Genomic DNA, 27915 nt, shown 5'->3' with positions numbered 1-27915 from the left:
TTGGATTTGGCTTAGACTGTATATTAATAGTTTCTATGTTAGTATAATGATTGGCATATTTGATTTCCAACTGAATCCAATTGTTACATGAGATTTGATGAATAACAATGTTGAGCATTTTTGTGTATTCTTACTGACTATTCACATATCCTCTTTGTGAAGCATCTATTCAAGCTTTTGCCCATTTTTATTGAGTTGTTTGTTGTGTTATTATTGAATTGGAGGTATACTTTATATATTTCGACTATACATCCTTTGTCAGGTATATATATTGTGAATATTCTCATCGATTCTGTGGTTTGGCTTTTCATTTTCTTAATGTCTTTAAGAAAACAGGCAGTTATAACTTTGATAACATCTAATTTATCATTTTTTATGGTGAATACTTTTCTGTGTCCTTTCTAGTAATCTTTTCCAGTCCCAAAATAAATGTTTTCTTTATTTTCTTCTAGAACTTTTATAGTTTTAGTTTTTCTGTTTAGGTCCATGACAGATATCAAAGTAATTTTCTGTACAATTTAATATTAATATTGAGGTATATGTTTTTAATGTGGATATCTACTTATTCAAGTGTCATTTTTTGAAAAGACTTTCTTTTCCCAATAAAACAGAATCGACCCCCATGCTTTAAAAAGAAAAAAAGTTGACCATGCATGCAAGGTCTATTCTGGATTCTCTATTCTGTGCCATTGATCTGTATGTCAACCTTTCTGCCAATACCATACTAAGTTGAATACTATAGATTTCTTGTCTTCCTTTTTTTTTAAAGCTAGTCAAGTGAAGCAGTGGAAGTGGAGAAGAAACAAACAAAAAAATCTGTAACTGGTTGTGATCAATTAGTTGTAAACACCACCGCACTCAGAGCCAGCCTATTGTAAGTCTTAAAATAAGATAATGAAAGTCCCTCTGGCTGGGTGCGGTGGCTCACGCCTGTAATCCCAGCACTTTGGGAGGCCAAGGCGGGCAGATCACAAGGTCAGGAGATCGAGACCACCCTAGCTAACACAGTGAAACCCTGTCTCTACTAAAAAATACAAAAAATTAGCCGGGCTTGGTGGCGGGCGCCCGTAGTCCCAGCTACTCAGGAGGCTGAGGCAGGAGAATGGCGTGAACCCGGGAGGCAGAGCTTGCAGTCAGCCAAGATCGCGCCACTGCACTCCAGCCTGGGCAACAGAGTGAGACTCCATCTCAAAAAAAAAAAAAAAAAAAGATCCCTCTAACTCCAGTGTGTCTCAAAATAGTTTTAGCTATCTATTACTATGTCCTTCGCATTTTCACATAAATTTTAGATTAAAGTTGTCAATTTATTTTTAAAAGAAGATGGGACTGCTGTAATGGTGATTGGCACTTCATTCAATCTACAGATACATTTGCGGAGAATGGACTTCTTAACAATATTAAATTTTCCAAACCATGCATATGGTATATCTATTTATTTCAGTCTTCTTCAATTTCTTTTATCAATTATTTGAAGATTTCAATGTGGCTGTATTATACATCGGTTAAATTCTAAGTGTTTAGTGTTTTACCTTTTTTGGTGTACTACAAAAGGAATTTTTCACTTCATTCTTCAATTGCATGTTGTTAGTGCAAATACAACAATTGAGTTTTATATGGTGATCTTGCATTCTGAGAACTTGCTAACTTCATTTAATATTTCTAAGTGTTTTTTAGAAGATTCCTTAGGAAAAATCATATCAATTACAAATAGAAACAATTTTTCTTATTCCTTTAAAATTTTATACCTTTTATTTCTTTTAGTTGCCTTATTGCACTGGCTATTACTCCATGGGATAACAAGTAGAAGTGATGACAGTAAATACCTTTGCCTTATTCCTGATCTATAAAAAGGAAAAACTTCAGTCTTTCACCATTAAGCATGATACTAACTTTGGATTTTTCATGGATGTCTTCATCAGGGTGAGGAAGTTTCCTTCTATTTCTAGTATCCTGAATGTCTTTACCTTGAATATGTGCTGAATTTTATCAAATCTTTTTCTGCATTTACTGAGATGGTTATATGATGTTTCATCTTTATTTGGTTAATGTGGTTAATAACACTGTGTAATTTTCAAACATTAAGCCAAGTTTGCAACCATTATATGAACTCTACTGGCTATAATGTATGACGTATACTTTTGAAATATATTAATGAATTTCATTTGCCTACACTTTATTGAGGAGTTTTGAATCTACAGTCACGAGGAATAGTTGATCTCTTTTTTTTTTTGAGACAGAGTCTCGCTCCATGGCCCAGGCTGGAGTGCAGTGGCGCGATCTCGGCTCACTGCAACCTCTGCCTCCCAGGTTCAAGAGATTCTCTTGCCTCAGTTTCCCAAGTAGCTCGGATTACAGGTGCACACCACCATGCCTGGCTAATTTTTGTATTTTTAGTAGAGACAGAGTTTCACCATGTTGGCCAGGCTGGTCTCCAACTCCTAACCTCAAGTGATCCACCCACCTTGACCTCCCAAGATCTGGGATTACAGGCATAAGCCTCCACACCTGGCCCAATATTTTTCTTATTTAACTCAGATACTGGTATCAGGGTTATACTGGTCTCATAAGATAATTTTGTTAAGCACTCCCTTATCTATGTTTTAAAAAAGCTTATGTACAGTTGGCATTATTTCTCACTTCATACATGATAGAATTTACTAATAAAACCATTTAGGCCTTGAATCTTCTTTGTAGAATGGTTATTTTTTATTACAAATTCAATTTGTTTAGTGGATATATGGCTATTCCAAATTCCCATTTCTTATTGGGTCACTTTTGAGAAGTTGTATTTTTCAAGAAATTTGTCAATTTCATCTAGTTGCTAAGTTAGCAACATTTGTTCCTAATATTTTTAATTTTCTTATTAAACTCTGCGGGATATGTAGTGACATCCCTTCTATTTGTGTTATGTGATATTGGTAATTTATATTTCTCTATGTATTTCTTGATTTATCCTTTTGGGGTTTATCAATTTTGTTAGTCTTTCCAAGGATGAATTTTGAGTTTCGTTAATTTTTGTTTCTGTATCATAGGTTGCTGCATTGATTTTTTTTTCCTTCTACTTATTTTGGGTTGAAACTTGTTTTGGGTTTAATTTGCTCCTCTTTCTGTAGCTCTTTAAGTGGAAACTTACATGAAAAATTTTAAGCTTTCCTTCTCTTGCAAAACAGGCATTTAAAGCTATAAATTTCCCATTCTACCGGAGGTACAAGGAAGAGCTGGTACCATTCCTTCTGAAACTATTCCAATCAATAGAAAACAAGGGAATCCTCCCAAACTCATTTTATGAGGCCAGCATCATCCTGATACCAAAGGCTGGCAGAGACACAACAAAAAAAGAGAATGTTAGACCAATATCCCTGATAAACATCAATGTAAAAATCCTCAATACAATACTGGCAAACCGAATTCAGCAGCACATCAAAAAGCTTATCCACCATGATCAAGTGGTCTTCATCCCTGGGATGCGAGGCTGGTTCAACGTACGCCAATCAATAAACATAATCCAGTATATAAACAGAAACAAAGACAAAAACCACATGGTTATCTCAGTAGATGCAGAAAAGGCCTTTGACAAAATTCAACAACCCTTCATGCTAAAAACTCTCAATAAATTAGGTATTGATGGGACGCATCTCAAAATAATAAGAGCCATTTATGACAAACCCACAGCCAATATCATACTGAATGGACAAAAACTGGAAGCATTCCCTTTGAAAACTGGCACAAGACAGGGATGCCCTCTCTCACCACTCCTATTCGACATAGTGTTGGAAGTTCTGGCCAGGGCAATCAGGCAGGAGAAAGAAACAAAGATATTCAATTAGGAAAAGAGGAAGTCAAATTGTCCCTGTTTGCAGATGACATGATTATATATTTAGAAAACCCCATCATCTCAGCCCAAAATCTCCTTAAGCTGATAAGCAACTTCAGTAAAGTCTGAGGATATAAAATCAATGTGCAAAAATCACAAGCATTCTTATACACTAATAACAGACGAACAGAGAGCCAAATCATGAGTGAACTCCCATTCACAATTGCTTCAAAGAGAATAAAATACCTAGGAATCCAATTTACAAGGGATGTGAAGGACCTCTTCAAGGAGAACTACAAACCAGTGCTCAACGAAATAAAAGAGGACACAAACAAATGGAAGAACATTCCATGCTCATCGATAGGAAGAATCAATATCGTGAAAATGGCCACACTGCCCAAGGTAATTTATAGATTCAATGCCATCCCCATCAAGTTACCAATGACTTTCTTCACAGAATTGGAAAAAACTACTTTAAAGTTCATATGGAACCAAAAAAGAGCCTGCATTGCCAAGTCAATCCTAAGCCAAAAGAACAAAGCTGGAGGCATCATGCTACCTGACTTCAAACTATACTACAAGGCTACAGTAACCAAAACAGCATGGTACTGGTACCAAAAGACATACAGACCAATGGAACAGAACAGAGCCCTCAGAAATAGTACCATACATCTACAACCATCTGATCTTTGACAAACCTGACAAAAACAAGAAATGATTCCCTATTTAACAAATGGTGCTGGGAAAACTGGCTAGCCATATGTAGAAAGCTGAAACTGGATCCCTTCCTTACATCTTATACAAAAATTAATTCAAGATGGATTAAAGACTTAAATGTTAGACCTAAAACCATAAAAACCCTAGAAGAAAACCTAGGCAATACCATTCAGGACATAGGCATGGGCAAGGACTTCATGTCTAAAACACCAAAAGCAATGGCAACCAAAGCCAAAATTGACAAATGGAATCTAATTAAGCTAAAGAGCTTCTGCACAGCAAAAGAAACTACCATCAGAGTGAACAGGCAACCTATAGAAAGGGAGAAAATTTTTGCAATCTACTCATCTGACAAAGGGCTAATATCCAGAATCTACAAAGAACTCAAACAAATTTACAAGAAAAAATCAAACCCCATCAAAAAGTGGGCGAAGGATATGAACAGACACTTCTCAAAAGAAGACTTTTATGCATCCAACAGATACATGAAAAAATGCTCATCATCACTGGCCATTAGAGAAATGCAAATCAAAACCACAATGAGATACCATCTCACACCAGTTAGAATGGCGATCATTAAAAAGTCAGGAAACAACAGGTGCTGGAGAGGATGTGGAGACATAGGAACACTTTTACACTGTTGGTGGGACTGCAAACTGGTTCAACCATTGTGGAAGACAGTGTGGTGATTCCTCAAGGATCTAGAACTAGAAATAGCATTTGACCCAGCCATCCCATTACCGGGTATATACCCAAAGGATTATAAATCATGCTGCTATAAAGACACATGCACACATATGTTTATTGCGGCACTATTCACAATACCAAAGACTTGGAACCAACCCAAATGTCCATCAATGATAGACTGGATTAAGAAAATGTGGCATATATACATCATGGAATACTATGCAGCCATAAAAAATGATGAGTTCATGTCCTTTGTAGGGACATGGATGAAGCTGGAAACCATCATTCTCAGCAAACTATCGCAAGGACAAAAAACCAAACACCACATGTTCTCACTCATAGGTGGGAATTGAACAATAAGAACACTTGGACACAGGAAGGGGAACATCACACACAAGGGACTGTCATGGGGTGGGGGGGGAGGGGTAGCATTAGGAGATATACCTAATGTAAATGACGAGTTAATGGGTGCAGCACACCAACATGGCACATGTATACATATGTCACAAACCTGCACATTGTGCACATGTACCCTAGAACTTACAGTATAATAATAAAAAAAAATAAAAAATTTTTAACAAACTATAAATTTCCCTCTAAGCACTGCCTTTGCTGTATCTCACAAATTCTGAAGTGTATTTTTATTATTCAACTCAAAATATTTTCTTTTTTTTTTTTTGAGACGGAGTCTCGCTCTGTCGCCCAGGCTGGAGTGCAGTGGCGCGATCTCGGCTCACTGCAAGCTCCGCCTCCCGGGTTCACGCCATTCTCCTGCCTCAGCCTCCCAAGTAGCTGGGACTACAGGCGCCCGCTACCACGCCCGGCTAATTTTTTGTATTTTTAGTAGAGACGGGGTTTCACCGTGTTAGCCAGAATGGTCTCGATCTCCTGACCTCGTGATCCGCCCGCCTCGGCCTCCCAAAGTGCTGGGATTACAGGCGTGAGCCACCGCGCCCGGCCATATTTTCTTATTCCCTTATGATTTCTTCTTTCAGCCATGGGTTACAAATGTGCTATTTAATTTCCAAATATTTGAAAATGTTTAAAATATTTTAGTTGTTGATTTTTCACTTAATTCCACAATGGCCACAGAATATACTCTGCAACATAAAAATCTGAATATTTAGTGAGATTTGTTTTATGGCCTAGAATATGTCTACTTTGATGAGCATTCCATATGCACATGAAAAGAATGTTTATTCCACAGTTTTTGAGTATGTCTAGTAAATGTGAATGAGATCAAGTTGGCTGACAGTGTGCTCAGATCTTCTATATCCCAATTGAATTTCTGTCTATTTTATCTATTCATTACTGAGAGAATAGTGACAAAATCTCCAACTAACATTTTCCATTGGTTCTGTCAGATTTTGCCACATACATTTTGAAGCTCTTAGATGAATATGTATTTATGATTATGTCTTCCTAATAAATTCTTTTGTGATTCATAAATGTCCCTCTTTGTCTCTTGTAAAACTCTGTCTTAAACTCCACTTTTTCTGAAATTAATATGGCCATACCACCTTTCTTGATGTATACCTGGTATATCGCTTTCCATACTTTTATGTTCAGTTTATGCATGTTTAAAGTACATCTCATAAATAGCGCATACTTGTGTCTTGCATTCTTATCTGATCTCTGACCTTCAATTGGAACATTTTACATTCAATGCTATTTACATTTACATATCATGCAATTATTGCTTTGGTGTGTTTAAGTCTACCACCTTGCTATGTTTTCCATTTGTCCCTTCTGTTTATTTGTTTTGTTGCTTCTTTCATTGGTATTTTATTTCTATTTGTTTCTTAGGGATTTTTTAAATTTTAGTGTTCCTCCAGAGCTAACAACGTGTTCTTATCAGAGTTTATTTAGTGTCAAAATTGCACTACTTCACCCTTGACACTACTTCCTTCTTCACACTTCCCACTTGATACTTTTCATTTGGCACATCTGTCCTCACACTTCATTCTTTACATATCACTAACCTAATAGCTTTACAATAGTGTAATTCCATTCATCCACTTCCTCCAACCTTTGTGTTTTTCATATATTTACTTCCACATATATTATAGAGCCCAGAAATTTACATTTTACATAATAATGCTATTATTCTTGTTCTAAACAGTAACCTTTTAAGGAAATTATGAGGCAATGAAAGTCTTTATATGTACCCATTATTTGCCATTCCTGGCACTACTTTTCTTTCCCCTCTCTGTGGATTTGGTTTCCATTTTGTATCATTCTCCATCAGTCTGAAAATGGCCTTTAGCAGTTTTTGGTTTTGCAGGGGCCTGCTGGATCCAACTTCTCTTGGCTTCAATTTATATGAAATAAAGTGTCTTTAAAACCCAAGTTTTTAAGGGGTATTTTCTCTGGATATAAAATTTTGAATTGGCAGGATTCCCTCACCACCCCTTCCCACCCCATCAGCACTTTAAAGACATTTTCATTGTTGTCTGCATTCCACTATTTCTGGTAAGTCAGCACACATTCTTATCATCATTCTCTTGTGTATATCTTTTTTTTCCCCTTCTAACTGCTTTCAAGATTTTTTTGTTTTCAGCGGTCTGACAATGATATGCCTACGTGAGGCTTTCTTGGTATTTATCTTTCACTGAGTTCAGTGATTTTCTTGGACGAGTAAGTAAATGTTTTTTCATCAAATTTGGGAAAATATGGCATTATTTAAATATATATATATATATGCACACACACACACACACAATTTCCTGCCCCATTCTTTGTTCTCTTTTTAGAACTCCCGTAACACACATATTAGACCAGTTGATATTTTCCACATGTTCCTGAGGCTGTGTTTCTTTATCTTCCTTTTGCCATCTTCCATCTGCTGTGAAGCCCATCCAATGAATTTTTCACTTATGTAATTTTCTAAAATTTCCATTTGGTTTCTTTTAATGGTTTTAATTTCTCTCCCATGATTTTCTGTCAATTCAATCAGACATTTTCTTTTAATTCTATAAACATATATTGCCTGTTAGCTGCTTTAAAGTATTTGCTAAATCCAACATTTAGGTCATATCTATTTATTACTTTTTTTCAACAACAGTCCTATAACTTTGCTTGTCTAGTAATTTTCTACTGTGTCCTGGACATTGTTAGTGATACCTTATGGAGACTCTGGATTTTGTTATATTCTCTCTGAAGCATGTTGATTCTTGTTCTAGTAGGCAGTGCAGTTACTGGCTAGTCACCTTTAAACTGTGTACGTTTTGTCCTGTGCTTTGTTATGGAGGGCACATAGAAGCCCAAGATGTTTCCCAAGCACCTCTGACTTGGCAGAAATCAACCTCCAGAATACGTCTCCCTTGCAGATCTTGTCATGACTTGGTTTCAGGCTTTTTTAGGATGGGTGCAGAGCAGTGGTCTTCAAATGGAGATGATTTTTCTCCCCTGGTGACATTTGGCAATATCCAAAGACATTTTGATTTGTCACAATTGGGGTGGGGAGCACTACAGGCATTTAGGAGGTAGAGGCCAAGGAAGCTGGTAAACATCCTACAACACACAGGATAGCTCCACACAACAAAGAATTATCTGGTTTACAATATCAATAGGGCCAAGATTGAAAAATGCTGGTAAGCCTTACTCCAGGCCATGGTCCTTACTCCTGACTAGGGGATTAACAAAGTGTTAATGAGGCCCTCCTCTACCTGAAAGGAACCTCCAGTGATTTTCAGCACTGCTTGATGTCCAATATCTCTAGTAAATTGCCCTCTGATAGGACTCATGTAGTCTTGCTCTGCAGATGCTATTTCTTGATGGGAAAGTTTGTAACATCATGTTGCAAGGGAATGAGCAGAGCAATAAGAATTTTTACAATGTAACCACTTCTGCTTTTAGTGCTAATTATTTATAGTTCATATCATTTTTGTAATGCAAACCTTCATTTTCTTTTGAGCACTGAACTTAATAAATGTAGGCTCTCTGAAAACCTGTCTTCATTATATTTTTATGACATGTATTTGGCAATGTTTGCAAGTAATTTTGTTGAGTATTAGATTCTTAAATTCAAAAGGTAGTTTAATCTGAAGATACCAAAAGCTGTACTTATACATGCTGGTCATACGCCTGAAATTTTACTTTGTTAAAAATTAATTTACATATATGGATATGAATACTGTTTTTGGCATGGAAACTTGACCCTTTCATTATGTTTCACTAAGCTATACTATTGGCTCTCCTACTAAGGGATTTCAATGACAGCACTTTGTAATTAAGGAATCAATGCATAAGTAATAAAGTAAAAGACTGAAGACAAAAACTTGTTAACTTTCCCAAAGGAGTTTTATGACAAGGTAATGTGAATGAAATAGATACACCACCCTACTTGAATCAAAGAGTATATCAAGGCCCACCACAGGCATGTTTTGTCTCAAGTGCTACAGAGCTGCTCTACCCCACTGCCTTCTCACCAATGCCAATCTCTCCTCCCTCCTAACACAGTCAGGCCCCAACTTAGGTGCAAGCAATAAAGGATACTGCTGTCATCCATCCACTGTCTAATCCATAAACTGAGTTCTTTCACTCCTTCTCTTCATTTTCATAATGTAATACATAATTAAAACTACTATCCTCACACTAGAAATTACACTTCCTCACTTTGTTTGGAATCTACTACCCTACCTAGTAAAACAACTGTTCTGGAGTATTATAAAATCAAGACATTCTGATATGGGTAAGCAGAGATCAAGTAAATGGGCCAATAGTTGGCATAAACAATATGATGGTTATATCTGAATACTGATTTATTTATTGCATTAATTTCACCTTCATGTCTTTACCATACTGTTTTTTTTTTCTGAGCAGACTACGAAGTTAGATATTCAGGTGACTTTCCATAAGTATTCAGTATTGTTGCCCTTTGTTCTTGTTTGTAAATTCAAGGAAAACAATGCCAATTAGACTTGCATTTAATTTGCTTTGTTCAGTGCAAAATGAAAGTACTCAATTTCTACTTGATTAGAATGGCTAAGCTTACTAAGCTAGAAATGTAGAAGGTAATTTCAATATGAATAATCCATACTCAATAAAAGAGAATTAGCTATGTCAAAAATATACATAAATATGAGTAATACTTGAAACCCAGTAAACATGTAAGAAAACTATTTTGCAAAGATAAGTACTCAGTGTTCATCATTTTCATGCTCTCCCATGGTAGGTGGCTGGCTGCAACAGAGCTATATTAATGAGCAGCATCAATGTTATTCTTTTTTTTTTTTTTTGAGAGATCAGTGTTATTCTTTAGGCCGCTATTCATTTTAACCGTGCATATTTAAATGAAGCAAGAGTCAGCAATTTTGTTATAACGAAAATATGGCATCCTATAGCTAAGTATCTTGAATACCTAACCTCTGCTTATTTTACCCTTTTAACTACCACATGATGCTTTGATTTTAAATGAAAAAAATATATCTGTTTTCCAAAAAAGATTACAAAGTGAGTACTTTGTTTTAGGGTTCATATTTATTTTCCAATTACTTTTATTGATCTTACAGAATAGTGTCTTGGTCTCTCTACTGCATTCAACAACACCAAAAATCTACAACGCTGGTGTCAACAGCAATAATTACTAAAAATTGAGCAAGCAATTTATGACTATCCGCAATTATGGAAAATGGATTCAAAAGGCATCTGCTGCAATAACAATAGTATTTATGTGTGTTAAGACACAAAAAGCCAACATAACTTTAGTACCTCAGGCATTTTTCTAATTGTGATATTTATACAAATTTTGGAAATTGATGAGTACACTGACCAGTCACCGATAATCATGAAAAAGAAAATACACATAAGTGCCTATTTAGCTAATACTGTGTTTAACTCTAGCTTGACATTGTGTGATACTGTAATCCCTTTCAAAGCACTGGAAATCACTCACATTTGCCTCAAGCTTTTTTTTAAAACAGAAGAATAATCTGATGAAGATGCCCTTATTTCAGAAACTGAGGTCATTACTATCTTTGCTTGAAACATTTTAGAAGAGTTGCTGAACAAAAAGAACACTCAATCTTAGTCTACTGGATAAACAGCGACATCTAGTGGTCATTGTATCCCTAAACAAACACCTTAAAAGCACAAACTCAAGTATCCATGAAATATATGAAATTGCCACTATCTTTAACGTATTTCCAAAGAAACTGTACAAGGAAATTATAAACACATTCTAGAAAGATTCCCTATGATTCAGGAATAATATAAATTGAAGGAAAAGTTAACCATGGACTTCTAATTTTTATTCTTAACAACTTTTTCATAGGTAAATATCCTTCAGAGGTTTTTATAAAAATCCAATTCTTATTTCTTCACGACTCAGTTCTTGTTTCTAACAGAGTGACATAAAGAACTCAAACACTATGAACTAATGAATAATAACTTCTATGGCTCTAATGAATACATGGATTGGTATGTCCCAGCAACAGATTCAGACACTCCATATGACAACACACTCATGTGCAAATTTTAAATGTTATAAAAGCTGCTACTCAATTATTGTTTGACTGAGTTTACTCTGGAGGTTTTATTAATTTTTTTGTAAATCGGGAACATATAGTTCATCAAGGTTTTCTAATACAACTAGGTCATGAAATGGAATTACAGCATCAAAATAGAATTAAAAAATCATTTTGCCATCAAAAAGTCATTGTTTCCTAGGTATGACTTTCCTATTAATGATAAAGTTAGTACATTCTTTGGCTACTGTTGTTCACTGGGACCTCGGCACATCATCTCTATGCCTGCTACCCACCAGACACCAGAAATGGCTTCTAAGGCCTTCATGGCCAGCTCCAGGGAAACTGTCTTCCTGTCACCATGAAAGACTTTTTCTGAGCACAAACCATTTGTTGCAGTTCCAAGGTTATTCATGGGACACACCGAGACTGTCCCTTCCACATGAACTGAGGTATCCCCCCCAAATCCCTTAAACATACATCAGTGAATACAGGTATGCATCACTATCTACCCATTTAATTCATCTTCCCTAGATTAACTGCCAAGTGCTAAGACTAGACCTTTCTAACAAGTCTTTGTTGATGATCATAAACAGATGAAAGATCTGGACAACAATTTTTGTGTTTACAGACCAGCCTCCCCAAACGAAGAATGAACATATTTGGTGCTCCCAGATCATCAAAATACCCACTACCCAGCCAATACCTAGACATGCTAGTGATTAGCTGGGACATTCACCTAAATGCCACTTATGTGTATGAAGAGGGCTACAGATGCCACCCTTTCTACCTCCCACTGACTGGACATGACCATCCAGAGGAATGGTATCTCACAGGCACCATCTAAAACAGTAAGGAACCATTACCACTTGGTAATTCAAATTGCGGACCATCTGAAATGGTAAGGAATCATCTTAATATCACTTAAGACTTTTACAGAAATGCTAGGCAGATGTGTTCCAATGAGCATCAAATTTCTAGTATATAAGCACTTAATCTTACTAAAGCAATGTGTGTGATTCATAAGCATTTAAAATTAACACTGAGGTCAAAGTATACATATAAAGCCTGGGGTTCTCTCCAGCCCACTATCCCCAGTGATTCCCTAGTCCTCTCCTAAGAGTTCTCAATTACAGAAGTGTATGTGTGGGCAGTAGCCACAAGTAACTAAATGTGAGGTTTACCAATGAGACAGGCAGCCATGAACGTTGGAGGCACCCGAAGCTTACTTTCTATTGCTCTACCCTATACAGACTTCATTCTCTCATTTTTCCTTCTCTTATCTCTTTGCCTTCCTATTTCTGCCTGGAGCTGGCAGTTGTAGAATAAAGCAATTTTGTGTCCTATTGCTACCTGAACCCCTGTGTTGTGTAACAAAGATGACTTCTGAATTTTAGGAAAAAATACTGCTAACTACTCAATAAGACAGACTCAGAGAGCCACGGGCAATCACAGGGTCTAGCTAAATGCTTGGATGAGCTGCCACGACAAGATCCCAACAAACCTAGAAATAATTTGGTCTGGGTCTAAATGCTAATATCATGCTGCCAAGCCTCTTTCTGAAAAGCATAAAAGCAAAATATCCCACTCCTGCAAGCAAACCAACCACAAGGGTCGTGCCAAGAACTTTTGGGGCCCTTTTCTTGGCCACCCGGAATGCTGTTGGCAGCACTGCAGAGATTAATATATTGTTGACATGTCCTAAAACCTTGTTAAATGTTTTTCTCTTCAAGACACGCTCGTAATAGGTTTCCAAGTTTGGTCGCTTTCCGTTTCCCCAGTTTCTCCTTGCAAACCCCAGGAACTTCAGTCGATGCAATGTGACAGCGAGTGAGACGTCTGCCAGGGTGAAGGATTCACCGCAGAGCCAAGGTTGCTGGCCCTCTTCTAATTAGAGAAAGGGACATAGAGAATTAGAGGCAAGCACTCTACAGACAGACTCCAGCTGGTATCAGTGGTCTCACCCTTAAGGGTGAGTGTGAGTATAGCAAAAGATGAAGGACATTATATATTTATTTTCTTGACAGCCACACTCAGAGAATAATTTCATGCTTTAAAAAAAAAGTCCATGCAAACGTATCCTAGGCCAAAGGAGACTTGCTTGACGTCTGTCAGCCATCCAGGTCCCTATGTAAGATTGCAGCCACTTGAGCTTATCACTTTGTAAAGGACACTAAGGGGTTGGGAGCCTCCAAGCTAGTTAAAAGAAACTTCCTTCTGGTTTATAAAAACAGTTCTGCTTTAGAAAAATCCATAAAGCTGAGTCTGAAACATCACTCAGTGGCTACTGCTCTTAGTCATTTAAAGCAGAAGAGCTTTTGTGACAGGTAACATAGTCTTCAACTCTAGTCGGAGTAGCATAAATGGCCCATGTGTATACACCTATGGCTTAACCCTGAAGCCAGTTCACTGGCATGCTTACCAGCCAGTCTACAGATGCCCACGTGCTGGTCCTTATTACACTTTAGATTGGAGGCTGTCTCCCTGCCTAAGGAAAAAACTAGAGGGAATATTCAAGCAATTACTCAAGTTATTCAACCAAACTAACTACTGTAATTACAAATTTGTAAAACAGGTAAAAATCTCCCAAGCATAATTTAAATTATGCAGAAAAATCCTTCACGTAGATGCAGATTGAGTTACAATTAGACACCTGGGTTTTTCTGGGTGCAATATCATTATTGCTATCATAATTAAAACTGCCTGTGAATAACAACAATGAAAAGCAGATTACAGAACGTTTTTGGTGAGACCTAAGAATGTTCCCATGAATAATACTGATGTTGAAAAGAGAGAAAGAATATAAATGAGAACCTACCTGGGGTTTCTTCATTTCTTCTTTGCAATTCAGTTTCAACCTGATCCAAGACTTTCTCCAACTCATCAAGAATTTTCTTCAAATACTTGACATTGTCATGATCAAGCAGCTTTGACTAATTAACCACCAAAAAAAGAAACCAAACATATTATTTGCACCTTTAAAAAAAATAAATCTAGGTAAAGCAGATACAAACTCTTACAGAGTTCAGCCTATTTTAGACAACGAGAAGAAATAGAAAAACTCAGCAAAAAAAAAAAAAAAAAAAAGAGAGAGAGAGAGCTAAGTTGAAGGGAAATATCCCAGCTGTGAAAATGACCCAGGAGCAGACCCACCACTCACTGGCAGCTCCTATGAGGCCAGATGACCACAGAAGGCAAAGAATGGGAGGGACACGAAGAGCCATCTGCCAAGCCCAACTCAGGAAAAGAATTCTAGCAGCCGTAATTGAAAGAGTAGCTGAAGGGTCAGGGATGAGTAAGAAGTCCGAGTGAAGGAGTTAAACGGCGAGTGGAGAGTCAGTCAAGTGACTGTGAGTGCAGGTGTTTCTTCTGAGGAGCTCGTTTAGCTACGATAGGATAAAGGAAGGTGGGAAGTTGGGGAGGGTTGGGAGTGCTGCTGTTTTCTACACTTTTAATATGAGAGAAGCTTGCAATAGTTGCTGGGCCCGGGGAAGGAATCAACAGAAGGAGAAAGGCTGACCATAAAGCACACTCCTCAGGGGGCAAAGCAAGTCAGGGCGACACATGGAGGGATGTAGGTCTAGCGAGGACTTCCAGTGGTGGAATACCTGAAATGACAGATTCTAGAATATGTTATGAACTTCCTTTGCATTTCATAACTTTTTTGGCAACCAGCATGCTCAATATCTGCTTGTTAAGCACTTGTCATCAAGTTTCAATATCAAGTCTAATAAAAAATTCTTTCTAAAAGGAGAACATAAGCCAAAGGTAACATGTGTACTGGTGAACTGCAATATTTAAAAGAAGATATTCTAGAAATAGTGGTACTTTACAAAAAGTAGAACATTTACTCCGTGCAGTGTATGTCAACTGAGGACAGCTGATTGGCTTACTTTAAGTCGTTTCTGTTTTGCAATGTATGCTTCTTGTAAATCTGGGTTTTCTTCAGCAAGTTTCTTCAGCTCAGACTCTGTGTTTCCAATTTGGCCTGATAATAAAAACATTTTGGAAACAGAAAATTATTTTCTCCCTTCTACACCAGTAACAAGGAGAAGCAGAGAAACTCAATGACAAGAGCATGAGCTCTGGGGCTCATGCCCTGCTTCTCTGCCTTGGGCTTACCCTGTCTATGCCTCAGTTTCCTCACCTTTCAAATGGAACCATAAGAGTATCTGCCGGCTGGGCGCGGTGGCTCACACCTGTAATCCCAGCACTTTGGGAGGCCGAGGCGGGAGGATCAGGAGGTCAAGAGATCGAGACCATCTTGGCCAACGTGGTGAAACCCCGTCTCTACTAAAAATACAAAAATTGTCTGGGCGTGGTGGCGCATGCCTGTCATCCCAGCTACTCGGGAGGCTGAGGCAGGAGAATCACTTGAACTCAGGAAGCAGAGGTTGCAGTGAGCCGAGATGATGCCACTGCACGCCAGCATGGAAACAGAGCGAGACTCCATCCAAAAAAAAAAAGAAAAGAAAAAAACAAAGAATATCTGCCATGAAGACTAAATGAGAAGCTTCATGGGAAGCACTTAGAGCAAGGCCCAGCACTTTACAGTGCTCAGTGCAGGCTTGCTGCTCCGCCTTCCTCTACCTTTCAAGCTTTCTATAATGAACTCCTATATGAAGGGAGGAAAAAGCCTTATTTTTAAAAAATATTAACTATAGGTCATAGAATTATAGTCAAAACTCTTGTTTCAAATACTATAAAGGGTATTTATGAAGAGGAGGAGGAATAAGAGGAAAGAGAAGCAGGAAGAGAGGGCAGTGGAGAAAAAGGAAGAGAAGGGAGAAAAGGGAAGAGATGAAAAGGGAAGGGAGAGGAGAGGAAAAGGAGGGGTATCAAAAAGGAAAAAAAGAATAATAAGAATAATAAAGGTGAGTATCACATAATGGGGAACACATGGTTTCTGGATTTAGAAGATCTGAGTTTGAGTGTTTCTGATCAACATTCCCAAAGTGTGACCACTGCCACAATCCTTTCCCTTCTTATCTCCAATTATCTCTGCTATAAAGCACACCTCCTGCTCCACAGATCATGCACTGACTATTCTCATGACAGGAGGAAGGCAGAAAGCTGGATGTCACAACTCAATCCCAATAAATCTACTATCACTGAACATAGAGACAGAGTAATAGTTAGACACCCTCTAGTCCAGTTTCCTCAAATAACGAAAACAACAATTAAGGACCAGTAACATGAACTCAACTGCCCATAATCCTAGGCAGATCCCAGGTTTTCAGATTCCTAGTCCATCTGTTCATGAGAACATGTTATATTCTTTACTCTTCCATAATCCACTCTTCTGAGTTTTACCCAAGATTGGCCCTCAAAGCCAAGAGCTGATAAATCAGGTCCTATAGACAATAAATGTCCAATTGAGCAAGTGAAGCACAGATTAATCCGACTGGTTCATGGATCGATCCATAACATGCACATCCATGAAGCAAACTCAACAACCCTATTCCCAATCTTCTTTTAGTGACCATGAGACATGCTAGGTCTCAAAATGAATTAAAAGAAAGTGTCAGACAGAATTCCAGGTCTTTAAAATGTTTACATACTACGAATCCTTGTAGTTGCATAAGCCGGGATCATGGAGTCCACAGTTAACTCAGGATGTAAAATGCAGCCATGTGTATAGGCATCCATTGGCAAGGAGTCAAGCAGCTCTCGGTAATGTTGTACCCGTGGGTAATACATGCTTTCTTTATCAGGCATTAACCTGGGTGTTCTTTCTAAAATACACACACACAAATATTGAAGAAAAAGTTACACATGAGTTGTTACACTCAAAAGCAAAACAAAAACACTATCCACTCATCATTAACATTTTCAACATATCTGTATATTCAAAAAACACTGTCTCCTCACCTCAGACATTCATTCAAAGTTTGAAATGGCCTGATGCACCAGACAAGATCCCAAACCATAATCACATTGGTATTCTCTCATTTCTTCACCTTGCAAACTGCACTCAGCCCTCAAGGCCCAGTTATTTATGCCATTTATTCCATGAAGCATTCCCTAACCTCCTACAACTGCCAACATCTGACTGGCTCACATGTGCCTTCTTCTATACATCCATAACACATTACACACACTCTGTTACAGCCCTTATCACACTGTAATTCATTGCATCTTTTTTCCCCATGACTGTCTTCAGGGAAAGGAACCTGCAATCCAGAGTCTAGCACAGTTCTCCACACACTTGAGGCCCTCAATAAAGTTTGGTTAATTGAATGAGGGCTCATTATGGAAAGATAATCAGGGGCTACTCTTTTCTAGGTGCCAACCAACATCAAGAGTGACCCTACTGACACATGTGAATGTGAATGACAATCTATATGGAACAGGAAAGGCCTTTGCTCAAATATCGCAGGTGCACTTTCCCCAGGAATTTCTAACAATTATCTCTGGAAAGTGGGTTCTACATACATCCTTATTTGCTAGTTAAAATCCAAACTGTAGAGTCCTTGAGGGCAGGGACCATGTACTGCTCTCTGTTAAATCCCCAGTGCCTAGTATAATGTTTGACATGTAGTAGGTGTTTAATAAATTACAATGAATACATTCCAAAATTTCCAATTATTATATAGATTACTTGAGCTGGAGAAGTGCTGCAGGAGTTAACATGTACACTCAGATACAAGGGCTGAAAATTTCTCCCAAGATCCCACAGCTAATTAGAGGCAGAGCTAGAACTAAAGTCATCTGATTCCTAATGTAATGTTCTCTTTGATTATACCATCATAACATTTTCAAAGGATTTTCATTTCATAGACTATCGAAAAAGAATAAAAGTGAAGGATGCAACCCAAAGGTCAGGGCTATGTCCCTTCAGAATCTCTTCCTATCTCTGGCTGTCAAACTGTCCCTAAAAAATGTCAGGTCTAATAACTATCACAATTTCAAAATATTAAGATATCTGCAATAACTTAACCATGAACATATCTGTGAGTTCTATTGGTTATCAAAGCCAGAAGCACTCCTGATATTGCCATGGATTGTGCCTACATTGCTAATGGAAGGAAATAATTCCTTTAAATAGAGATACAATTATTCCCTATCCAAGATCTCAAATCTCCTGAATTCTATTCATAAACCCCTAAGCGCAACAGTTCTCACACTATGGTCTGAGGATCCCTGGGTTTTCCTAAAACATGTTTGGGGGATCTACAAAGATATTTTTATAGAAATACTAAGACGTTAATTACTTTTTCACTCTTATTCTCTCTCAAGTGTACAGTAGAAGTTTCCAGAGGCTACAGGAAACATGACTCTATCACTCTGACAGCTAGTGGGATTGTGCTTAACCAGGCTAATATTTTAAGTTTTCTCAGTTTTGCTTTCTAAATGGTAAATATTGATAGCTATGATCCACATAAACAAATGCTCTCTGGTATCCTCAAAGACAAAGGGGTATAGAGACCAAAAAGTTTAAGAACTAATGCTTTAGGGGTCCAAGAACCTCAGGCTAATAACCCTAAATAGTACATTTTCAAATGCTTCCCAAAAGGTCCAAGTAATGGCTAGTGGCTCTGGCTGCTTTCTGGTACTGGGCCCTGGGGCTTCTCTCCAGAAGAGCATACCATTTCCTTCCTAGGAAAGTGAATGAGAGCAGGAAAAACAATGTCTAATTGCTTTCTGGGGAAGATCCATCAGGCCAAGCCCAAATTCTTCAAGGAGGACAAATGTTTAAATCCATGAAAATAATTTTCTTCTACTCAGTGTGCCGTTACTGTCTAACCATTTCCTGAAGCACTCTGTCAGAGCATGAGATACCCACTGAACCCAAGTTATCTCCCCATCTCTCTTTCTTTGTGCGCATCAAGCATGCCCTCTCCAGTATCACAGGGGCACTGCGCTGCCATCCTCACACTGAAGCACAACAGTATCTGCTGCTTCTGATAAAAGAGTTTTTCAAAGGAAAACTGGGAATTTCCTTTGAATTATAGAGGAGATCTTCCCTCTCAATCCCATCCTATTTTATTTTCCAGTTCTTCCGTAGAGTACCTTTATCAAAATACCAAAAGCAAGAATTTTTTTCTCAGTAATGTACCTCAATCAGGAGTGGGAAAGCAACATAAGGCATAGCGGGGCAGGACAGAGAATTAGGGAGTTTTAAGAAGCAGGCAATGAGAGGAGGTCCCAGCATTGGGGAGTGGGATTGCAACAGTGGAAATGAGGCTTGGTATTAAGCTAGAAGAACAAATAAGTTGGCACAAGATCCGACTTGCCGGAAGAACTGAGTAGGGGAAAAGTTTTATATTACACATAAATTTAGGCAGCAAATTATAAACCAGCAGATAGACATAAAGCAGAAAGATTTGATAAACAGCAGAGGAAACCAAAAGAAGCAAAAAATAAAATCAGAAAGAAACAATAAAAGCATTCTGCAGCCATGTAATGGAGACAAATGGGCCTCTACATTCTCAAGTCCCTGTAATGCTGAGTAAAATAACAATGGCTCTGAGCCATTTTTTTAAATTACATTTGGTTTTCCCAAGAGTAAAACATAAAAAGAAATTAGGGGCTTAAAGGCATAAGTTTTCATTATTTTACAAAATTCACTACTCTGGTTACCCATCTTTCCTAGTAAAGGCAGATAAAGGAGGCATTATTATGCCTTGTTTTCAAGAAAGACTCCCCTAGGTCTACTTGTACAACTTTCAAGTCTCCCTTACTACTAGCTCAATGGAAACAGATTAGATTTCATTCCTCACTCTAGCCCTTTGCTGTTTATTTTACTTAGACTGTATAGTGATTGCATCAGTATATAATATGCATAATACAGCTGAATAATATTGTACCCTTCAACTAGTCACACACTAGGCTATTTTTAAAAAATTCAATAATAGGCTGGGCACGGTGGCTCATGCCTGTAATCCCAGCACTTTGGGAGGCCAAGGCAGGCAGATCACGAGGTCAGGAGATCGAGAGACCATCCCGGCCAACATGGTGAAACCCCGTCTCTACTAAAATACAAAAAATTAGCCGGGCGTGGTGGTGCGCGCCTATAGTCCCAGCTACTCGGGAGGCTGAGGCAGGGGAATCGCTTGAACCCAGGAGGTGGAGGTTGCAGGGAGCCGAGATTGCGCCACTGCACTCCAGCCTGGTGACAGAGCGAGACTCCGTCTCAAAAAAAAAAAAAAAAATATATATATATATACACACACACAAACACACACACACACACACACACACACACACACTAAATAATATTAAACAATTAAGTTATGACCTGAGGCAAAAGATATGGTAGCAAACTGATTGATTACAATTCAGTGCTGTCATAACTCTTGAACTAGAAAGAGCAAATCTAAATACAGATAAGAAAAAAAACAAAAAGACCCGGTGTCAAATTATATCAGTTCACTGTATGCATCCAGGATTTTGAGACAAATTTATAGCATTATTGTCAATAAATTTTATGCACTATACATTAAATGTTTAACTACTTTTAACTGGTATTACAGTTAAGACTTTTAACAGAAACATTTTTAATGATGGAAGCAAAAATTCCTTTATCAGACAGTTTGTTCCAATTGTTAGATACATATTATATAGAAAGAGGGCCTCTGAATTTTAATACCCCCAACCTGTCTGCTAAAACTGGACAAATCACAAAGAGAAGAAAAGTTACTTTTTAAAGCAACTTTTACTGACACAATAATCAAAGACTGATATTCTTTTCCATGCCATATGGTATATTTTCTCCACATTTTGTGCTAATCTGCAATTTCAGTATATGTGCTAAAAGGCCTATATTCAACTATATACAAGAGCCTTTTCTTGATGAACACAAATATAAATATTAATTGGTAATTCCTTAAATAACTATTTTTAATATAACAGTGACATCAGAATTAACGTTCTTTTTTAAATGTTACATTTGATGAAATTCAAATGTAACATTTAAATGTATTTTATAAATAACATTGTATCTATAAATTTAGATATCCTAATAAGATTTACGTGATTTTAATATCATACTAGAATAGTTTATTTCCAAACTAAATTCTATTTCCTAAGAATAAATTATATATCTAGACATAAGACATGAACGTGATGTTCAGAGAACTGTTACATTAAATCACAAAAATCCATTATTCTTGATTCCAGGTTACCAGAGTTATTTGGTAGTAATACATATGTTCTAGTATTTTATAGTTATTCCATATAATTTTGATTAGTAGCCAAGTTAAATTTTATTTAAAGAGGTTATGAGTACAATAGATAGATTGAAAAATCCACATTTGTGTGTACATTCACCTTGTCACATCCATTCTTTCTCAGTTTACCTAGTTTGCTTACTCTCATACCTTATCTAGCTTAATCAATTGCTTGCTGTAAAATAACTATTCCTCACCACATGCTCAGAGTTAAAGAGGTATCATGTACATGAAAGAGTCTATAAAACTGTACAGTAATAGCAAGTATATATGTTAAGGACAGATTTGGAATTATCAGCAAACTTATAGAAAGAAATTATCTTTGAAGACTAGCAAGCTGCTAATGATTTCGGATCTTTAAAACATCTCTGAAGTATCCCAGGACCCTATACCAAATTAATACCCAATAAATGGTTACTTAAAGAATAAATGAAGAGATAGCTCTCGGCCAGCTCTTAGTTTGGCAGTCAGGAGCATCATTCATGTCTATACCATTCTTCTGTATGACTGCTTTCCAAAAAAAAATCAAATACAGCCATTATCCAACAGATATTCACTATTTCAGGCTATGACTTGAAAAGGGTGACCTCAGCTACCAAACTACCAATTATTTAATGAACTATCCCGAAAGTACAAGGATAGAAATATGTAAATGTAAACAAAAAAGTTGAAAAATGTTTCTAGATCAGCAAGTCATCGTTTTTCGCATAATCCCCACTGGATCGATAACAAGGGACAGCAAATAACAGTGAAGGACATACTGGTTCACTACATTCTGTTCTTTAGAGGAATGGCTACACTTACAGTCTCCTGTCATGACCATGGGCGACTGCACACCTCATGAAATCCATCCACTTATTCTATCTCATCAACATTCCTCAAAGTTACATCCATAATTGGACAAAATGTCAACTATTCCAAACAGCTCAGAATGCAGAGGGTTACAACTCACCCTGTTCTCAACAAAATTTACAGTTTTCAAAGAACCTGAAATCACACTAGCCATTTGTTTTAACATTGGTAACTTACTATCTATTAACCAGGTTCCCCATTCTTTTGGAATGCAGCTGGTTTTTTAAAACAAAAGTCTCATGCCTATTTTCCTCATAGCCATTTTACATTTAGCCTTGTTAAACTTTATCTTATTTTTCCATTTTGTTGTATTTCCATAAGAAATATTTTATAAGCTAGTCATCACTTTGACTATTTACCTTTTCTGTCATTCACAAATGTAATCGTATTTCTTCCATGTCTATTCAAATCATTGATTTGTTAGGCTCAAGTCAAAAAAGAAGCCTACAAGAACATTACAAGGGATCCCTGTACAGGCTAACATCTGTTTCAATAATTTATTCATTTTAATCATTCAAAATATTTATTAAGCACCTATTAAGAAACATTCACTGTATAAGGCATTGGGGATAATTTTTCATAAGATACACTATTCCCAACCTCATGGTACTTACAGTGGTGTACAATTCAAACATTTAAAATAAAGTATAAAAACAATTATAAGTAAAATGAGAGTCTATAGTTGAAGAGGTAATCTGGTATGAGAAATCTATAAAGTAATATTCTTTAATATGGTAGTTTATTCATCTGCAAATGTGCGTTACAATCTTCTAGCTATATTTGCTCCTTTATTCCACAAGGGTATATGTAACGTAATCGCAAATGTTCTACTTAAATCAAGATATACTATATCTAGAACCATGCCTGGCACATAATAGACAGTTTTTTAGAAGTGTTAGGGACATTCTCCAGCAGTGTAAAACTTAAATTGGTTCCTTTCACTGAGATACACAAAAATTTTAACATATTTAAATAACTATTCACAATCTATTCTAAATTTCCACCAGATTTAAAGACAGTAATTTACACCAGTGCTTACTTAACTAAACACTAATTTATAGCAGTATTCTCAAACTTTAATGTACATACGAATCACATGGGGCTCTTGTTAAAACAAAGATTCTAATTTGATAGGTCTGCAGAGAGCTCTAAGGTTCTGCAGTTCTAACAAGCTCCCAGGTGACACCAATGCTGCTGATGAATGGAACATACAATTAGTAGCAAGGGTTGGTAGAATTCACTTTTCCCCGTCTTTGACAATAGGATGTTTGTCTATCTTGTCTGACTTTCATTCTCCATGAGTTCTTAAAGATAAAGCATCTTAATTATAATTGTGATAACGCTGTTTTTAAAATTTCAGTACTCTGAGATAAACTTCTTCTTGACCTCGATTTATATAACTTAGCCTTGATTTATATAAACTATTGTTCTCTTGCTGTCGTCCTATCTACCATAAGTTTTGGGTCCCTTAATCGTTTTTTCGTCCTTCCCAATTGATTGAAAGATATTCAACAAGTTAGTGGCAGCATCAGACTAAAAGCTAGGACTCTTGATTGCTGAGTTACAATAATAGTTCAACCAGAATTAAAGTCTGCACTTTCCATATTTCCATCCTGTCACAGCCTACAGTGCCTTCTCTTCTAATTCTTAAGTAATCAAAAGAACTTAGCATTTCCTTTGTTTGGTTATTTAAATACAACTTAGCAGGACACAGAACTTATTTCTGCTTTGTTACTATTCTGTACTAAAAGCAAAAGAGAAAGACTAAGGAAAATTGTAAGAAAACCTAATAATTGGTAACATTACTATGTTGTAAATATAATTTATATCACTGAATTTCTTAGAGGAAAAACAGTGTAAGGAGGGGATGGAGGAGGGGAATGATGATAGTAGAAGCAGTTCAGGCAATGCTACCAAAAAACTTAAATGGGATTTTCCATTTAGAATACCTTTTTAAAGTTTTTGATCATTTAAAATAGATTTATTAACACAATTATTTTGTTTTGTTCCATTATAATTACATCCCCCAAGAAATACAAATTAACACACTTATCCATTTCCAAAAAGCTCAAGATTGAGAAAAATTCTCTTAAATGAACTAGTTGTCATTTTCAGTACAGTCCCCAGCATATAAATTTATAAGGAATAGCAAATAAAGATGAAAAGAAAGTACATCATTAAATGCTTTGGTTTACGCTAAAGCTACCTTTAATTAAAACCGCCAATCACAATCCTAGGGGACTAGCACTTAGATTAAGAACAGGGGTAGCCCATTGCTAATCTAATTCCCTGGGCTTCCCCCTCGCCACTGCCCACCATCTAGGCCTAATAATACTCATTTTCCTTCTAAGTACATGAGACTTTTTTTTGTCCTAGTAATTTCCTTTGTCAGCTTCCTGTAGTTTGGGGCTAGGTTCTGCTTTCACCTACCCTATTAACATCAACATAACTGGTGGCAGATGAAAAGTAACAATCTCATACAGCCTTTTTAGAAGAGCATTCAGCTGGAAGCTCTGAGCACCATGTTCTGCTCTCATCAATGTCCATTGTGATCAGCTGTGTAGTCTTTGGTAACTCTTTGAAGCTACAGTTCACTTCAAAGGATTATTATTAGGAACAAGCAAGACAATGTGTAAGTGGCAAGGATTATGGGAGACAGTCAGTGTAGTATGAAGGCTTTGGAGACCAAAGACTCTGCCATACAATAGCTATATTACTTTGGGCAACCCTGTTGCTTTCTCCTCATTTACATAATGGGAATAACTTGTCTACCATGCCTGTCTCAGACAGATACTTTTGAAGACATTATTGAAGAAATTATAAAATGTCTGACACATAACAAGCTGTTAATAAATGATTTACCTAAATGCACTATACAAATTTAAGCCCTATAATTCCTTAGTAAAGATATAAAATTCAAACAATTCAGAAGTGACTGGGGCAAAGAACTCAGGTATACTAACATTCTATTCTCCTTTAAGATTTATTGCTCTTTTTTCCCTCTTGTTTTTAAGGTGAAACCATTTGGTATATTAGATGAAATCGTCACAGTGCACATTTAGAATATTATGAATTTAAGACTAAGAAATCACCAACACAAACCACACATTTGCAGTTTTTTGCAAGTGAATTTTTTTAAGTTTCAACATTAACATTTGTATTTTGCATTAAATTATTTTAAATAGCATTACACTAGCCTATACAAAATTTGTTATTGACCTATTTGATATTTGTGTGCTTATGGAAATGGAAAAGGTTTTTAATCCCAAACCACCATCATGACACAAGAGAAAGAGAGAGAGGAGAGAGAGAAAAAGAGAAAGGGAACACATAGTTGTGTTGAAAGTAAATCCAAGAAATCGCAAGTAGCCTTAACATTACCATCCAGGAAAGTCTGTTCAAGATAATCAATGATCTGAGTGGCCTCACAAATTATGTTTTCCCCGTGGATAAGGACAGGCACTTCTCCAGTTGAGTTCAAACGCATAAACCAAGGCTCATTGTGCTCACTCAAGGGCAGACTTACATCATGTTCCTCGCACTTCAATGCCTTTTCAGCAATTACCAAGCGCACCTGGAAGAGTTCACACTGGTTACTACAACACATGTAAGCTTTCAATTAAATGACTTCCCTGGACACCGCTAAGCAGCCTTTCTGGGCTTCCCTGTGTTACCGACATTTTCAACAGTCGTTTTAACAATTCCTATTCCTGGAATTAACAAGTAAGGAAAGAACAATACTCAACAAATTAAGAGAAGAACACAAAATAAGTAATGAAATGATTCTGACTGTATTCATTAAACAGTCACCCTCCTCATCACTACCACTTTCTCGGTGTCCTAAACCTGATTATGGGTCCTCCCCAGACAAGAACCTGACATGTAGGTACATCAGCTCTTGCTGAAGACAGTGAATGCGAGAGAGCAAAAGAAGAGATCGCAGATTATGAGGGTCCACAAAGGCACCTCCCTCTGCCTCTCTCCGAAGACCAGCAGGCAAGGCCTCCAGACCAAATACTGAAAATGATGCTTTTTTGTCGCATTTCGCGAGAGGCGGAGCCTGGGCCATAGCCACATAGGATCATCTCCGATCGATTCTCCCCGCTCCCCACCCGGGCGCGTCCCCGCCTGGAGGGAGCGCCTGCCCGGGGTCAGGACACTGGAGGCGGATTTCTAGGTGGACCGGCTTCCCTGGGCGGGACTCAGAAGGAGCTGTCCCAGTGCTGAAGCCCGATCCGCGCCACCCTCCGCCGCCAAGGCCTGTTGTACCTTTTGAGAGCTGAAGGAATGCGTCCAATGGTACAGAATGAGCTTAACCTCCGCGTCGGCCTTGCCTTCCGCCCTCAAGGGCGGGCTCCCTCTCTGCTCTTCCTGCCTCTCAGCCATCTTGGGGTGCGCGAGCACGGGTGCGCCCAGCCTGTCCGCCCTGGACTTCTCCCTCCCACACTGCCCCGCAAGGCGTTTCCGGGTTTTGAGGGGTACCTGCCGGAAGGAGGGCGCGCGGCCCGCTGGGAAATGTAGTTTCGCCGGCGGCAGAGTCTGCGAACACGCGGGGTCTGCGACTGGAAAGCCCCTGGCAAGCCTGGGAGTGCACCTGGGAGGTGCAATTGAACGGTTGTTTTTTGGGTTTGTTTTTTTTTTTAGAAGAAAAAATAAAAAATATGAGACCCTGGTTATGAAGGGCAGTAAGGAAGAATGATGATAGCAAATTACTCTTCGGTTTGGAGGTTGCTCAGGTATAAAAGCAGCAATTTCCCAAGATACTGAGGGTTGCTCTTGGAGCCTGTTCCTTTGTTGGAAAGGAAGTTCCGGTCGACAAGCAAAGCAACAGGAAAAGGATCTATGAGCTTTCATTAGAAGATGCTACTATGACATTAGTGGACTAATTCCACAAATTTGACTAACTGCTGTAGATTAGAGAATAGTCTTGTATAAACAGTAAGTACTTGATTTTGATAATTAAACTGTGCTTTGTAAAAGAAAAAAAAATACCACTATGGAGTCATGCAAAAAAACTGTTTTTGTCATAAACAGCTAATAAACAATGGCGATATAAAATAGCCTAGTTGTTAAACACAAAAATTCTACAACAGTACTGCCTAAGTTCATATCCTGGTTTTTCCATTTTCTAAGTAAGAATAATAATTTTATTGTTTCCCTCATAAGATTTTTGTGAAAAATTAATAATAAAATGTTAAACACTCAG

The 27915-nt window shown here is 37.6% G+C and overlaps 1 protein-coding gene across 8 annotated transcripts in view, besides 1 other annotated feature; it reads right to left on the bottom strand.

The window, feature by feature from the left end:
• GDAP1 (ganglioside induced differentiation associated protein 1) overlaps positions 1–27154 on the bottom strand; it is a 138470-nt gene extending 111316 nt beyond the window's left edge. The window contains exons 1-6 of one of the 8 annotated variants that reach the window (NM_018972.4): positions 26979–27154; positions 26091–26283; positions 17247–17420; positions 15579–15673; positions 14504–14618; positions 10681–13572 (exon numbers count right to left, since the gene is read on the bottom strand). In NM_018972.4, coding sequence (NP_061845.2) covers positions 13190–13572; positions 14504–14618; positions 15579–15673; positions 17247–17420; positions 26091–26283; positions 26979–27095 — 1077 coding nt within the window. In that variant the 5' untranslated portion in view covers positions 27096–27154 and the 3' untranslated portion in view covers positions 10681–13189. Of the gene's footprint in view, positions 1–10680; positions 13573–14503; positions 14619–14737; positions 15294–15578; positions 15674–17246; positions 17421–26090; positions 26286–26978 lie in introns of those variants that run through there. The other 7 variants (NM_001362929.2, NM_001040875.4, NM_001362931.2 and 4 more) reach the window with 7 other exon arrangements.
• Positions 26912–27141: an enhancer, noted in NCBI's record as "active region_27542". NCBI's record gives its function as "activates an Ori minimal core promoter by ATAC-STARR-seq in GM12878 lymphoblastoid cells {active_cell/tissue: GM12878}" and the evidence as "EXISTENCE:reporter gene assay evidence [ECO:0000049][PMID:35858748]".

Source organism: Homo sapiens, chromosome 8 (genome assembly GCF_000001405.40).
Source record: "Homo sapiens chromosome 8, GRCh38.p14 Primary Assembly".
Lineage (NCBI taxonomy): Eukaryota > Metazoa > Chordata > Mammalia > Primates > Hominidae > Homo > Homo sapiens.
The sequence above is the reverse complement of the archived record's forward strand: the minus strand, read 5'-3'. Positions and strand labels throughout refer to the sequence as shown.